The sequence below is a fragment of the Homo sapiens genome, chromosome 7 (genome assembly GCF_000001405.40).
Source record: "Homo sapiens chromosome 7, GRCh38.p14 Primary Assembly".
Lineage (NCBI taxonomy): Eukaryota > Metazoa > Chordata > Mammalia > Primates > Hominidae > Homo > Homo sapiens.
Genome location: NC_000007.14, coordinates 122334293 through 122351820, shown reverse-complemented (window position 1 = coordinate 122351820; position 17528 = coordinate 122334293). Strand labels below are relative to the sequence as shown.

The 17528-nt window shown below is 36.0% G+C and overlaps 1 protein-coding gene across 29 annotated transcripts in view; it reads left to right on the top strand.

The window, feature by feature from the left end:
* The window catches only part of CADPS2 (calcium dependent secretion activator 2), a 568050-nt gene that overhangs the window by 534640 nt on the left and 15882 nt on the right, over positions 1-17528 (top strand). For all 29 annotated transcript variants that reach the window (NM_001363398.2, NM_001009571.4, XM_047421032.1 and 26 more), the window contains one exon: positions 6140-6247. In NM_001363398.2, the coding sequence (NP_001350327.1) occupies positions 6140-6247 (108 nt within the window). The remainder of the gene's footprint in view (positions 1-6139; positions 6248-17528) is intronic.

The following is a 17528-nucleotide window of genomic DNA, read 5'->3' as shown; positions in this document are numbered from 1 at the left end:
GACTGTTAAGAATAAAAGTAATATGACTACCTAAGTTTTAGTAGCATTAATTATAATAGATTCTGATATCAGATACCTTCATAGCATTAAGGTAGGATTCTGCCTTTTACCAACTATACTCAAGTAACAGACAGAGGACCCTGATCCAGGACAAGAACTCTGCAGTAATGGAACAGCCCCTTAGAAATGTGGGATTGAATCAAATGTACCTACTTAAAACACATGTTACATGCTCTAAATCTAAAAGCTGTTTTCAAAAGGATGTGAGTGTCATTATTTTTAATTCAGAATTGTCTACTCCCAGTTTGGAGTCAAAACTACCTAAACATATAATAATTAATAGAATTTTGAATACCGCTAAATTTAACAAAAAAAAAAGTTAACTGGCTGCTTCATTCTTGAAATAATAGTTTGGAATTTTTTTTTTTTTTTTTTTTTTTTTTTTTTTGAGACGGAGTCTCGCTCTGTCACCCAGGCTGGAGTGCAGTGGCGCAATCTTGGCTCACTGCAAGCTCTGCCTCCTGGGTTCATGCTGTTGTCCTGCCTCAGCCTCCCAAGTAGCTGGGACTACAGGCACCCGCCACCATGCCCAGCTAATTTTTTGTATTTTTAGTAGAGACGATGTTTAGTAACACACCGTGTTAGCCAGGATGGTCTCTTATCTCCTGACTTCGTGATCTGCCCACCTCAGCCTCCCAAAGTGCTGGGATTACAGGCATGAATCACCACGCCCAGTCTGGAATAACAATGAGATTTTTTTTCATTCATGGTTTTTAAAAATCTATTTTTAAAATGCATATATTTGTGACTTGTTCGTTGTTTAAATTTCTTCCTCTCTGCCCCTTTTTAAATTATTTTTAGAGACAGAGTTTCACTTTGTCACCCAGGCTAGAGGGCAGTAGTGTGATCATAGTTCACCGCAGCCTCCCACCTCAGACTCCTAAGCAGCTGGGACTACAGGGATGCACCACCATGCCTGGCTAATTTTTTACTTTTTTATACAGGCAGGGTCTTGCCATGTTGCCCAGGATGGTCTCAAACCCCTGGCCTCAAGCAATCCTCCCACCTCAGCCTCCCAAAGCCCTGGGAATATAGACATAAGTCACTGCATCCAGCCCCCTCTTTATCAACTGTTTCTCTTCCCATCATATTTATTAAATATTTAAGTTGGCATAAATGTAATTAGAAGGCTCTGTAATCTCTGTGTATTTCCATCTGGTTTTCTGTGGGAATACAATATAATCTACTTTGTAAAAACTTGGCAAACTGTATTTAGTTTTTTACAACATAATCATGAATATATGAAAAAACCTTTTTTATGTGAGAACATATAACTTATTTAAACTACTTCAAATGCTTTTGAAAAATTTCAGGAGATTTTTATTCAAATATAAAAATACAGAAATTGATAAATGCCAGAGCATTAAAGATATATTAAATAGTGAAAGAAAAATATTGTTTTTAACAATACCTGAGATAAATTACATGTTTGTAGAACTATGTTCTATGATCAATTATAAATTTTTACTGAATCTTAAATGCCAGAATTGAGATATAAATTGCTCCTACTACAATTTCAAATTTCGAAGACATGTTATTTATTGTCTTATATCTTACATGATCCTTTTTTCTCAAATGGTAATGAATGGCCAGACACAGGTATTTCATTTACAAAGCAAGCAGATAATCATAACGCAGGATATTACACTTCCACTCTTGATTGTTTCTTCAAGGCAAGCTTTTCTAGGTTATGAGAAGTGCACTTTCAAATTAAGTCAATTACACTGTAGCTTCTAGTTAAGCTTTGAGGCTGGAATAGTATATTTAAAAATTTGTCTCCTTGTTAAATAGGCACCATGACAGTGTTTGTGTAGTGTATTGCTAACCTTCAGTGGAAGGTTAAGCAGCTTCTTCTGTGTCTAAATCTGTTGCCGTGAAAAATGACTGCAGTGTTGCACCCATCTACCCATGAATAGGGAAAGCGAAGACTTGCACCTGTGGGATTAGGTGTAGCAGCAGGAAGCAAGAGCGTTTGCAGCATATAATTAACAAGGAATTTTTTTCTCTTTAAACAGCGTGTTCATCTTACTAGGTTAACTAGTGATTAACGCTTGGGAAAAAAGTGCTGGAGTCTGCACCCTTTCTTAAATTCGTTCACTCACTGATGTATTTGATTACTTATACAGTGTCAGAGGAACTCACCTTAAAATACTTCATTTCCTCCCATAGTTCTTGATCCCTTTGTGCTCATGGGGGAATTTTTTAGATTTTTGTGTTGTTTCACTATAACTTTGCTAGACAGATTCTATTATTTTCTGAATGAGATTAAAAGTAATTTAGGAACTACTATTTTCATTTAGAGATTACCATCTTAATAAACAAGATGGAAGAGTTAGTGTGTAGTGAACTAAGGATCCTGGAGGTTTAAATGGGAGTATGAAAAAAATAATTTACTCCGAAATGGCATTTAATACATAGAGTACTTACTATATGGTTTTTGTTATTTTTCTCATATTAAGAAAACTATGATTACCAATTTAGAAGAGATTTCTAAATATAGCTCTCTAGAATACAATATTCTTAATAAAAACTAATCTGAATCCACAGCTGTTGAAGTTTAACCGGCCACTTTTTTGATATAATTGGTAGTCATGCATTTGTATCAGAATGTGTAGTTATAGTTTGTCTTTACAATGCAATCATATGCATTGTCTTCATGTACACACCAAAAAAAACCCCACAAAAATGTACTAGCATACTTAGTTATTATTTTCACTAAACTTCATATTCTTATAACACTTAATAATGATTCAAATTAGATGCAGTGACTTTCGGTGTGTAAATTTTACCACCATAATAAAACAGAGTCTTAGCACATGGGAGCATTGAACCAGCGATAATGTCTTCTATCCAAACACATTTGTACTGTATGTAGAAACTGTTTAAAAGGAAAATTACATCTTTTTCAGCAATTTATCAGAGATAATTACCCTTCATACACCAAATGAAAGATAAAGTGTTTTAAAGAACTACAATTCTAATTGGTAAATGTCACCAGCTGTTGCAGTTACTCTTACTTGTGTATATTCTTTTAATGATTATACACTCATGCCACAAGCTACATGAAAATGTATTCACTAGGTGTGAAATTCCCATATGTCACAATTTCAAGAATAGGTAAACAGCTCAATGATAAAGGAAGAAATAATTCCAGTGAAGAATGTAAGAATTCTGGGTTTGTTTTTTAGGCAAGTGGATCTTAATTTGCCAAAAGGGAAGAAAATGCAATTTTTTTAAAAAAAGGAAACACTTGATTTTTTACAACAATCAAGTGTATCCTCAGCCAGAGATTTTTATTTCCTTAGAAAGTTGTGGAACTGTCTCAACTTAGAAATTTCAGTATTATATCCCTTGGATCTGCCAATAGGAAAAGCATTTCGTTTTCTTTCAGGCTTAAACTGTAAAGTGTTAGTTTCAGGTGGTGGAAAATAAACTCTTCCTGGACAGTGTTTCATGATAGTCTAATCTTATAAGTGATCAAGGAAACAGAAAAGAAATTACCGTAGTGTCTATGGTAAATGTTTAAAGTCATTATTCAGTCTTCCTGGCCATAACTTAGTTTCCACTGAGACTGATAGGTCTAGTGACTGACTGAACTGAATGTCTAAGCAGTGGCCTTTAAAAGATGGAAACAAAAATGGGGTTGGGGTGGGGAGAAATAGTAGTAAAGACAAGCGTCCCATTTGTCTGTTCTTCAACTCCCAGTTCAACTGGGCTGTACCCAACTACCTTGGTATTTTGTACATTACAGCATCCTGTTTCTGGATACTTGCCTGAAACTCAGATACTGAGTTAACTTGCTATTGTGTATTGAAAATTGTTCTCATGTCACTTTCGTTCTGCAGCAGCAGGTTTTTTGAATGTTCTCATTGTCAGTGTTTTGACAAAGTTTGAGAGGCACAGAGAGAAATATGTATCTTAGGAGTTAGTTTCCTTCAAGTATTAATAGTAGTAATCTTTGTACAAATTACCCTGCCTCTTCACTGGAAGAGCCAATGTATAATCTTGCTAGACCCAAAGAAGAAAACAGTCTAGCTTTTTTATTGTTTATCCTTGTAATTGTTTAAACTTTCAAACATTGCTCATGAGAATTATTGAAATAGTGAAGGAATGAATTTGATAAATTGCCTCCATTAGGTTGAAAATAGATAGCCAACATTGTGTATGAATGCTACTGAAGGAGAGACCAGTAAAGACATTTATATAGTTATTTCAAGTTACAGCTAATGTTGTTGTATCAGGGTCATGTTGAAAGGATCCTTGAATTTATGTGGTATATATTTACCTTTAGACTAAATATAAGAACAGTAAGAGATTGCAGTAATTCTTACTGCACAGAAATAACTTTGTAACAAAAAATCATTAATTTTTATAAATGGAATAAGTAAGACATGCTCACTGCCTATACTATATATTGGTTAAGAGATGGTCAATTTTATTATGTTATATAAAATATGCCCCCTCCAAAAAAAAATGGCAAGAACTCTCTTTCATTTAGGGAGAAGATGTGACTACTGTCCTAGCATCACTCACATGTTTACCTTGAGTTGTTTTTTCCAGCAATGGTAATAGTTAAATGACCCATATCCTCTTTAACCTAATTTTCTTATAGTATTTACTTTTGCAAATGAGTCTGCTGACAAAGGTTATAAATGCTTTCTGTGAATACGAAATGATGCAAGGCTAACTGGCTTATTTGGGCATCAGTTCTACCTACCTATCATTAGGTCGATGGATCTATCTAATTTAATAGATCTACCTATCAAATTGGTAGCAGATCTACCTAGTGATAGATAGTTATCATTTTGTTCTTATTAATGTCATACTCTAATCAACAACTCAATACAGATTAGGAACCAAGCCCAGGTGTAGATGACACAAGTAAGTGCTTTCATTATCTAGTCCAGCTATATGAAGTTCAAGAAAGAGCTAAACATAAATCAATTAGAAAAAAGTCTTTAACAGCCATGCAGGCATCTATCCCTTACTAGTACTGACTTTGCAGCATCTATAGCAAGGAGAAATTGTATTACCTCCTCTACTATTAGAAGACACCAAATGTTAAATAACTTTGGAAAGGTATTTAATCCACATCTTCGGCTGTACATAGGAAACTAGTTCATTGATACTCTTGCCACATTTCTAAAAGAAAATAAATTATTCAGATAATGTTGTTAAATATTGAGTAGAAGCAATGGATAATCCACAAGATATTTTACATTTCATTTTGTAATATAGTAAATATTTTCCCCAATATCTTCTTCAAAATATTTTACTCAGCTTAATAAAAAATTTAGTTTGTATTCCTTGAACGCCCATAGTAGTTGAGGGAGGCACCCTAAGGAAAGCTAACATTTTTTGGTTTGGTTTTATTTTGTTTCATTTGTTTGTTTGAGACAGGGTCTGGCTCTGTTGCCCAGGCTGGAGTACAGTGGCATGATGACAGCTCACTGCAACCTCAACCACCCATGCTCAAGCAATTCTCCTGCCTCACCCTCCTGGCTAGCTGGGGCTACAGGCTCACAACACCACTCCCAGCTATTTTTTTTTATTTTTTGTAGAGATGAGGTTTCATCATGTTGACCAGGCTGGTCTTGAACTCCTGGGCCCAAGCGATCCACCTGCCTCAGCCTTTCAAAGTGCTGGGATTGCAGGCATGAGCCATGGCACTCAGCGCATTTTTAAATATTATTGATAAGCCAGCCAGAGATGATGCAAAGTAAATTGTATTTGCAACTGGGAAATTATAATTACACATGGAAAATTTTTGGAAAAATTTATTCATTTATACTGCTTGACATACTGGCCTTTCAAGATAGCCATTTAACAAAAAAAAAAAAAAGATATCTACGGATCTACAACTCTGTATTTTCAATTTGATCTCAAGTTGTGAACATCAGTAATAAACTTTTATTTGCTTTAATTATGGAATGTATTGAAGATGCTCACTTTTGGTTTAGTTTTAAGCTCCTTGTTATGACTGTAATTTTCAAAATTATTTTTCAGGGTATGATTAAATAATAATTTCACAATTGAGACCTGATATTATTTTGTTCCCCCTGCTTTTCCTTCACAACAGAAACCAGGAATGGATCTGGCAGACACCTATATTATGTTTGTTCGGCAAAACCAAGATATTCTTCGAGAAAAGGTCAATGAGGAAATGTATATAGAAAAGTTATTTGATGTAAGTAGCTTCCCTTGCAAGGTATGCTGACACCATAGATAAACTGCAAAGAGAAAAGTTGAATTTTGATGGTATGTTTGCAAAGCATAGTCTCCTTTTTGTGATCCTGTATCTTCTATACTAAAAAGTTGAAGCTGGCCAGGCATAGTGGCTCATGCCTGTAATCCCAGAACTTTGGGAGGCTGAGACCGGTGGATCAGTTGAGGTCAGGAGTTCAAGACTAGCCTGGCCAACATGGCGAAACCCCGTCTCTACTAAAAATACAAGAAAAAATAAAAGACATAGCTGGGTGTAGTGGTAGATGCCTGTAATCCCAGCTACTCGAGAGGCTGCAGCACAAGAATCGCTTGAGCCGGGAAGGCAGAGGTTGCAGTGAGCAAAGATTGCTCCACTGCACTCCAGCCTGGGTGAAAGAGTGAGACTTTCTCTCAAAAAAATGACTAAATAAAAAAATAAAAAGTTGAAGCCATTCTAGATATAGACCATCAAAGGTATATTTGTTGGTGTGTGGGCCGGGGGGATGGCGGGGTGCCTTCTGAATATCTTCAGTTTTTTGTCTTGGTGACCTATTTACTGAAATCCATTCTTGCCATCAGTTCATTATAAAGGTAGAAGTTTTTTCTCCTTGAAGTTATTCCCCATTTCCAATTCCTGTTCATTTGCAGCTAATATAGTTGATAATTTTTATACTTCTTTTGACTGCTGGAGGCCTTAATTAGCTTCCTTTTCTATATAAAAATTGTCACCATTAGAATGAGTCTCAAAAACCTGAGGTTAGTTATAAAAAGCCAGATAATAATAATTTTACCATGGTGTTCAGCATCTTTTCACTTGCCTTTTGCAGCATTCCATAAACAGAATCATGTTCTAATGGATGTGGTCCCTACTATAAGATGTTTTAAGTCAATATGATATTCTACTGTTAAACAAACAAATAAGCTGCAGTAAAGCCAAATATCTGCCACTCTACTGTTGAACATTTTTATCTTGATTTAAAGTACTGATATGTGCTAAAATATGCAGTATTACAGTTTTATCAGCACTAAGGTCTTCATTTAGGCATGACAATGCCTAAAAATGAGGACTGTGGTTTTGTATACTGTGATCGTCATGTTTCATTTATTCAGTATCTGTAAAGGAGACTAACAGAGCAGTCAATTTAAATAACAATATTGTCATTCATTTGTAATTATTTTACAGTCAGTTCAAAGGAAATGATACTTTGCTTGTGACATAACTTTGCATAATTCACCACAATACAGATTCCTAAATGTAATATTTGCTTTGAAGCTTATTTATTTATGTACATCTTCTCTGCATTTTAGAAATGCTTTTCTGGCAGTTTCACTTAATTATGCAAGTTACGGCAAATGTTTTCGTAACAGCAATTCACGGGCTTCATGGTGACACTTCAGCTGTGGCAGTTGCAGAAGGTCCTGCTACGTCATCCTCTCTGCCGTGGTCTCTCGTGTCAGTGTTCACTGTCAGTTTGGGTGGTCAAAATGAATTTTATCTTTCATGCTTTATGTTTCTACCCTTTACTCAGGCTATCATACAATAAAAAGTATTGCCTGTTTTAATAAGCTAAGTGTTAATATGTGTGAAAAAAATGATTTTCTAAAAGCTTTGATGCCCTGCAGGGGTAGAAAAATTATCATCCATCCAGCTGGCTCTTTTACAAAATACTGAAACCATATTAGCAACTTCTGCTTCCATTTGGTATTGCTCTGAATTTACAAGCATATGTTTCATTTCCAAGTTCTCTTTTACTTTTTCTGCTAATGTGGTGATTTTCAAAACTGTTGAACAGAAGAGGGAAATTGAGTTGATGTTATTCCCATTATGTTTCTTCTTAGAATAGCTAAAGCACGTCTTCTATGTTGAAAAGTTAAAGCCATTCTATAAGTAGACCATCATAGATAGATTTGTCAAGGGGAATGGGTGAACTTTCTGAACATCTTCAGTTTTTTGACTCGGTGACCTATTTACTGCAATCCATTCTTGCCATCAGTTCATTATAAAGGTAGAAGTTTTTTCTCCTTGAAGTTATTCTCTACTTCCAACTCCTCTTCATTCACTGAAGTTCTTTGGAAGACTTTCTATGTGGCAATGATAACAGACAGAGGGAACTAAAGTGGCTCTAAGGAGGCCAACATTAAAATATAACACTAGTTTAATTGCCTTGGTTATATATACTTTCATTCAATGCCTAAGCATCTGACATGGCTATGGGTCTAAAAGTAACCCTTAATAAGCAACCATTCTGTTTTGGTTGTGAAGGTTTTGTATTTTGAATATCCCCGGTAGAACACTGGACTTGTTATTTGTAAAATAATTGTAGTGTCCTTAAACATTCTAATATTTTTAAATTGCACATTTTTATTACTTTATTTAAAAATAAAAATAGACCCTAATTCTATTGATTTGTCATCAGGAATAACATGTATGAGGGGATACTAAAAGCCCCTAATCAGCCAAGACTGAATTTGCCTCAATTACAGTTAGAAAATGAGAGGTTATCAAGTACGTGTTGAAAGGCAAAGTAGAATGTGTATCTTAAGCAACAGATCATTACTGAGAGACATTATGTAATTATTGGAAATCCACTTGGCTGGAGCCTAAAATAATATTGTTAGGTGTCAAAAAACAGTTGAAAATAATGACCCTATAAATACTGTTAGCAACCTTAGCCTATTACAGATAAAAGATTGAAGAGAAAAATTTCATTCAGGCATCATGACGAACTTTTGCTATTCCAATTAGAGTATTTCCTATATAAGTAAGTAAATGGATCTTGTTAACTTCAGATGCAAGTGAAAACATGGTTACACACACATTATACTGAATTAAAACTTAGTGGTTTTAACCAACCCAGATTAGAAAACAAGGGCTACAGTTTCTGGGTCATGCAACATGAGGGCTTAAACTCTTCAAGAAATTCACTTAGTTTTGGAAATGCCACATATAACACTATTTTTATATAAAACAATTAGTCTGCAAAACATATTCACCCTGCCCCCAACATTTTTGGAAAGCATGTAATACTAAATAATCTTTGCAGGTGATGCAGCTGTGTTAAAAAGTTTGTGGAACTTTCCCTGAGTGTAGTAACTAACTACTCACAGTATCCCTGACCTCTATAACTTTTTGATCATTTAAACACCTTGATTGTTCCTGATTTTTGTGATGAAATACCCCAGGATTTGGTTTAAATAAGCTGCTATTGCTTAAGACCAAAAACATGACATTGGCCTAGATTCGTGCCCATTGTTTTTGGAATGAGATTGATATCTTCAAGAGTTTTCAGTGTACAACCTACACAGCCATTTACCGTATAAAATCTGCTTCTGGGGTATTCTGCACTGCTGCTATCATTCCCATCTCCAATAATAAGTCATTAATGTCAAAGTATGAGAGAGGAAATAAATAAAATCTGCATTACCTTAAAGGTCATAAATAGGATAATCTTTAATTTTTTTACATCAAATCTTGAAATATTAAAATTAAAAGTATCCTTTGAGGGTCACAAAAGCTAACATTAGGACAAATGTGAAGGCATTATATTCACCTCATAAGTAGTCACATTTACAAAACACTTTTTGCTTAAAACAGAAATAACTTTTTAAAAGTATAAATAAGTTATGGCAGGTCCATGATGTTAACAGGGAAAACTAAGTTTGTTTAAGGTACATCCTTCATCTTTTCAACCTATCAAAATAATAGCTGTAGTTTTCACCACTACCATTTCCTGGCCACCTCCTTGTTCCAGGAAATGTTCTAGGTGCTTCACCTATATCATTTCCAAGCTCCTAGGCTAGATCCCGTCAATCCCATTTTATCCCTATTTTTAGGTTAAAACATCTCCCACTCAGAGAAGATAAGTGACTTGTGGATTGTTGAGTCAAACTTTGAAATCGTATTTCTCAAGTTTCAAAGTCTATGCTCTCTCTACCTTACCTCTGACTTAACAAAATTTGAAATGATAAAGTAGTGTTATGGGAAGAGCTCTGGTCTGAGAATGCAGAAACTTGAGTTCCAACCACAGCTCTGCCATTAAATATCTGGGTGAGTTTGAAAAAGTTATGCCATCTGTGTAAGACTCAGTTTACTTAGTACGTGTAAACTAAAGATGTTGGTCTGGAACTCCAGATGATTTCTGAAACTCTTCCAGATTTTAAACCAATTTTTTTTTTAGTTTTAATGTTAGCAATGATGACCGAAATTACTGGACTGATTGCATAAAGGGTCTTGTACTTCAGTATAGTAATTTCTAAGTTATTTTGTGATAGCCATGTGAAAACAAGGTGTCCCACCAAAGAAGCAGTAGCATGTGCAGTAGATTAATAGAAAAGAAAATCTATCTACAAAAGTAGCTATGCCATATGACATTGTGTATATCTATCACTGTGGTTCTGAAACCCAAATTTTTTTAAAAAGTTGCAATATGTATATTCTGTATTCAGACTCAGTGTTTCCAGCTGACCAGGATGTTTTAAACAGAGGATATCTCTGCCTCTCACGTGACCACTGAGGCACATGCTAAGTTTATAATCTAGATATTACATTTACTTTTCCAATTTTAAAAAAGTGACTTGTTGGGTAAGAAAAACTGAAAGAAGTTATCCTGTAGTAGGAAAGATCATGAATATACCAAAAGAAAGTTTTTCTGCTTTGAGGTTCTCTCTCTTACACCAATGTCCTTTTTTTTTTTTTTTTTTAACACATAAGGCATCATTGTGAGCAGTCTTTTTAAAATTTTTATCAAATCAAAACCATCTTCAACCTGATCCCAATATAAAAAGTATGACAAAGATTTTCTAATTCTTCAATTCCATTTTTAATGCCTACTGTGATGTTTCTTCCCAGGCAGAGTGGCTGCTCACTCTCTCAGGTTTCAGAACATGTAGCACAAGCCACAGGTGTCCATGTGTCAGCAGAGATCCTGGTACATTTCTTCAGAGCTTTGGCTCTCTGGGCTGGAAAGGGGTGATTTTTCAGAAGTCAAAACTGACATCTGTAGTAATGACCACAACAGCACTTCTCTTGTCATTTTCTAAGGTCCAAGAATGTTGAAATGTGGAGGCAGTTGAGAGTTGACTGAAGCGCATCTTATTTTTCAAGATAGACACTAAACCTACCTAACTCTCTAAACCATTGTGCATTTATTGGGCACTGCCCACCTTGAATCCCTTGGAAACTATCTCATTTTAGCTCTCATGTTGCTGAAGACACATCAGGGTACAATGTTTAATTGGTAAATCATGCAGATTAAACATGCTCTTTGTTATAAATTGATTAAATGTTTAATTGTGGAGGAGTTTCATCTCCACAAGATTTTTTTAATGTTATGATGTCTTGTAATATTTAAAGTAATTCTTTAAATGATAGTTAATCAGTTATATTCATCCAAACAGCGTTTTATAAAGGCTTAATTTCCCAGGACTTTCTGTGAAAAGAATGCTTACTTTCCAGTGAAGAAACTCTAAATTAAACATTTTGAGTAAAATTGACCTATACTATATAAATGGATTCAGTAGACTATTAATGTAAGATAAAAAGAAAATAATGAAAATATTATAAGTGAATGTGCTTCTCAAAATGAAACTGATTTTGCACTTACATGCTCTTGTTTGCCTCTGGACTCCCAAATTTTAAGAAAGGGGGAAATGCCCAGAACTTTATTTTTTTTGGATGGAGTTTCACTCTTGTCACCAAGGCTGGAGTGCAATGGTGGAATCTCGGCTCACTGCAACCTCCACTTCCAGGTTCAAATGATTCTCTTGCCTCAGCTGCAGAGTAGCTGGGACAACAGGTGTGCAGCACTACACCTGGCTGGTTTTTGTATTTTTAGTAGAAACAGGGTTTCCCCACGTTGGCCAGACGAGTCTGAAACTCCTAACCTCAGAAGATCTGTCTGCCTCCACCTCCCAAAGTGCTGAGATTACAGACATGAGCCACCATGCCCGGCCTGCCCGGAACTTTTGAGCTAGTGCTTCACATCAATGCCCAAACTTTTTGAAGTGAGAATTTACTCATTCTTGGTAAGATTAACACTGCTATTCTTAATGTATTTAAAGACTGTTTATTACAATGTTGATTTCCTAAGAATAGTTGAAATCAACAAAACATGGATAAGAGTGACCATTAAATAGAACTTTCACGATACACAGTTGAAATCAACAAAACATGGATAAGGGTGACCATTAAACAGAACTTTCACAATACACTTGGTTATATAAGAGTGACCATTAAATAGAACTTTCACAATACACAGTTGAAATCAACAAAACATGGATAAAAGTGACCATTAAATAGAACTTTCACAATACACTTCTTTGTATGTATTTAGAGCTGATAATGTACTTTTTCAGTCATATTATTTGAGCCAGTTTCTTTGTGTATGTAATCAGCCTGTTTACTAGGAATGCAGGCTGGAACCCACTGAGATGGAAGACCATCTTTGCCTTCTTGCATGTCTTATAATTCTACGATATTATAGAAGAATTCTAGCTGGGCAGGATGGCTCATGCCTATAATCCCAACACTTCAAGAGGTCAACGTGAGAATGATCACTTACATCTAGGAGTTCAAGAACAGCCTGAGCAACATTGCAAGACCTTGTCTCTACAAAAAAAAAAAAAAAAAATTAGCCTAGCATGATAGTATGTTCCTGTAGTCCTAGCTACTTCGGAGGCTAAGGCGAGAGGATCATCCAAGTCCAGGAGTTTGAGGCTAGAGTGAGCTATGACCACACACTGTACTACAGCCTAGGTGACAGAGCAAGACCCTGTCTCAAAAAGAAAAATGGGATGCTTTCTTATATGTGAATGTCAGTTTTAAAATAGCAGTTTTCCTCTTTTCAATTATTTTTCACTTTTTAATAACTGTATAGTTGTTATATGGTCTTCACAAATTAGTATAGATTCCCATTAGGGTATTTTCACTTTGGTCTTATTTTTATATAAAAGTACTCAAATATAAATAATTAACTGTTGTACCAGTATGTCCAACCATGATTTTCCTATCAACACTCAAATACTAATATTATTCCCATGTCATAGCCATTATTTTCCTTTTCCATCAATAGAAAGGGATGTATGATATGAGTACAGTGAGGTACTTGAGGCTGTTTGAGGTTACTTATTTATTTATTTGTTTGTTTGTTTGTTTGTTTTTTTCTGAGACAGAGTCTCACTCTGTAGCCCAAGCTAGAGTGCAGTGGCGCAATCTCAGCTCACTGTAACCTCTGCCTCCTGGGCTCAAGCAATTCTTCCTCAGCCTCCCAAGTAGCTGGGACTACAGGTGCGTGCCACCATGCCTGGCTAATGTTTTGTACTTTAGTGGAGACAGGGTTTCACCACGTTGCCCAGGGTGGTCTCGAGCTCCTGAGCTCGGGCAATCTGCCCACTTCAGCCTCTCAAAATGCTGGGATTACAGGCATGAGCCACCATACCCAGCTGAGGCAATTTATTTATAAACATTGTTGTGTTGTGTACCTCAGTACCTCATTGTGTACTAAAGGTGGATAAAAAGTTTGACTAATTGGTTATATATATGATAGCAGCAGTGTCTTATTCATCTCACATGTTGTAGCAATCTGTTACTTAGCTGCTTTTAACACATTGTTTTCCAGCTGTTGTCATTGTTGTGTTTCATTGTATATAATCCTGCTTTGGTTTACTTATGGTATTTGGACTCACACTGAAGTTGTTTGACCTCTTTTAAGATAGTCATAGTCAAGCCTGTTTCTATATTGTCTTCTCTGCCTCAGTAGATGCCATACAGAGCTGCTCCTCAGCTTTTTTTTTTTTTTTTCCTTAAAGTTTGTTTCTCTTTAAAACCTCTGCTCTCGAATTACCGCTGTCTGGTTCCTTTGAGTTAATAATCCTCATTGTAATGTTAAGTTATTATTTGTAAGTGTAAGAATTTATAAAAGGATCAACTTTTGATGTATAGTGTATGCCAAAATAGCTTTGGCAAGTCCAGACGTGGTTCAGAGAGGCCAAAGGCCCTCATTTGAATCAGAGCTTTGGTGAATTAAAACCTGAGAAACTTGAGATAAGCATGCCCAATTGCCTAAAAGAAACTCAACCAGAAAGTGTATTAATAGCTTGTTGGTCTTATTTCTTTGATAATTCAAAAGAATGTTCAAGAAATATGTGGGCTTCTTGCTTAGATTCTTGAAATGTGATCGTGGAACACAATTGTCATTTGGCACATTCCCAGAAATACACATCTTTGCATGAGGCACCTGGACATATGTGGCAGGTCTGGTAGAATCAGCTAATTAACAACAGAGGCTTAAACAGGCACCTCATCTGGCAGTGCAGTTAGTTGCCTGATGGTGCTCAGCAGGATTTGGTAGTGCTTTTTATTTTTCTATCCTAATGGTCTGCTGCCCACCTAATTTTGCCTTATTGTCAGTCACTACTTACCGCAGCTTGGGGCCCTCCCAGGAGGCTAAATTATTATCAAAGGATTAGGGAGATGTAGCCTTGCAGCTCTGACATTTCTGATTACTTGTCTATGCCAGAACACTAATTAGCTGTGACTAATTAAGAAAAATGTTCCTGCCATAGAAAACTATTTAAAAGAACTGAGAAGTAGAAAAGCAATTCAAAAGCTGAGCAGTGCTCAGATTTGCTGATGCTCTTTAGATTTCCACCAGAGCCTTAACTCACCTTTAATTGTGCTCAGAATTAAAAAAAGAAATTCCACATGCAAACTGACCAGAGGATTTTGCTTGAATAGGAAAAAGAAAATGTTGATCACCTAAGCTCTCTTACCAATGGTAAAACTGTCTTTGATGAATGGAAGGTGACACAACTTTCATTTTCGTGGAGAAATTTTTCTAAACACCAATTGCATAATGTATATTTGCATTCATCCACCTGAGCCAGTAACAAAGGCTTAAGTCACTCAAGAAATTAGAATATTCTCTCTACCAATTTTATAAGAGACTGTTGAATTGATTATAAGGAACATGTTGAGCATTTGAAAGTTATTTAGCATTGCTTTCATGTATCTTTCATCTTTAAGATGGTCTAGAAATTCTGACCTCTATATGTAGAGCCTGTGACTTTGCATGCTTGCATTTCAACTGGTCTCTAGTGCCTTGTTCATGGAAATGTCCAGGCTTCCCCTGAGACCAGCATTTCTATCAGTTGATCACTGCAATGTTTTCATAGAACAGATAGCTACTACCCTCCATCTCTTCCATCCTAACTTCTTAAACAAATGGTATGGTGGCTTTAAAGCCATTTTCTGTGCTGGCCTTTTGTACTCCCCCTCTGTGAATCACGCCTTCTGCAAGGTCAGACCATTCACAAGTGGGCACAGCAGTGGCAGCCAGGTCACCAGTGTTGGCTAAATCCAAGAAAAAAAATCTGTGTAAGGAACCAGCAGAACTATCATTACATGTGATTATTGAATGCATTGGCAGGAAACTATATATAAAATAATTTTAAGCTTTCATATAAACACCTAACCTGTAAGAGAGAACCCTGAATTTCTTGATCTTAGCACAGCCCTAGATAACACATCATCTAAATTTTGCTGTCTTAATATGGACAAAATATTTCACTGGAGGGGAAAAAATAGTTCTCACCCGTACCTCACCTACATTCTTCATGCTGATTTTTAAACCCATTTCTCTTTTTTCTCTCATTGGAGAACAAAAGGCAGGTAGCCAGCATCCTCTAAGGAATAATCCCTCCTAAATATGAAGACTGTTATTAAGGTACCTGTCATACTTGTCTACTCCAGGATAAATAATCCCTATTTGTTTAACTGCACTTTGTAGGCCTTTTTTTCTAGCCCTTTAATCATCTTTGTGGCTGTCCTTTGAAACTTCTCAAAGTGTTCTCTGTCATGCTTAGGGTTTAGAGTCAAGGATAGGATGCAGTATTTGAACGTGGCTGAACAAGATTCTTTCAAGCCTTCTATTTATTCATTCTAATATATAACTTTCCCATACTTTTGCTCTACTGACCTCTATAGTTCCATATATTCCCTATATTTGTTTTTGTTGACTTTTTCTCTCACTGGCTACATAACTTAAAGATAGGCATTAATCTGAGGTCAGGAGTTTGAGACCAGCCTGGCCAACATGTGAACTTTCAACATGGTGAAACTCCATCTCTATTAAAAATACAAAAAGTAGCCGGGTGTGGTGGCACATGCCTGTATCCCAGCTACTCGGGAGGCTGAGGCAGGAGAATCACTTGATCCCGGGAGGTGGAGGTTGCAGTGAGCCAAGATTGTGTCACTGCACTCCAGCCTGGGTGACAGAGCGAGACTCCATCTCAAAAAAAGATAGGCAATAAATGTATAAGTTTAATGATGTAGAATATTTATTTTTGAGGCAGTAAAAGTACATGTTTATTCATGTAGAATATCCATTTCATTGGTGTTTTACATTAGAAGATCTAGAAAACAAACTCATTCAATTACTATGTGTAAAAAATGGTGGGAAATGTTGAGATTAAAACTTCAGGTCTTGGCTTTGCCCATAGAGATGGCTATCTATGTCACAATTACTCAATAGGAATCTAGTGAGAATAGAAAGTTGAAACCCCTCTTATTAATTATTTATTAATTGAACCTATATTTATCAAAGACTTTTTAGACCACACACTTTGCTAGAGGCTGGGAATACAGTATTAAACAAGATAGACCAAGTCCTTGCCCCAAGGGAGCTTACCAAATGGGTATTTTTGAAAAATTTTTATTTCCACATAAAATGTTTTACTTTTTTATCTGCAGAATAGCTATCCACAGATTTTTTTTTAAATGGAAGTACTCTGGTGAACTGAAAGTCAATACTGTTTCAAAATAGATACTAATAATTAATCTATTAAATTGTTTATTTATTTCTCCCTCTGCTTCAAGTGGATGACTGTAAACTTGCTAAAGGTTTAGAGCCAACACAAAGTTTGTATCCAGTTCTAGCACCTGCATCAAATGACGTGACTGTGAGATAAGAGCACACTCTTGCTCTCTGTTCTTCCTGGGTTCTTAGCTCAAAAGCCAGGCTTATATCAGCTCCCAAACAAGCTCTTATATCCCTACAGACAGAACTCACTATTTCCACAGCAACAATATTTTTCTGCCTTTCTTTAAAAACAGCTCAACGAAGCCAACAAGTGTAGAACGCACCCAGGACATGTCACTTAGTGGTGAAAATGCACAGGCAGCACATCCAGCCATGCCTCCTAATACACCCCATGGCCTCAGAGTGGGTACCAATAGACCTGAGCATATGCTAGAGAGGCAGCTCCCT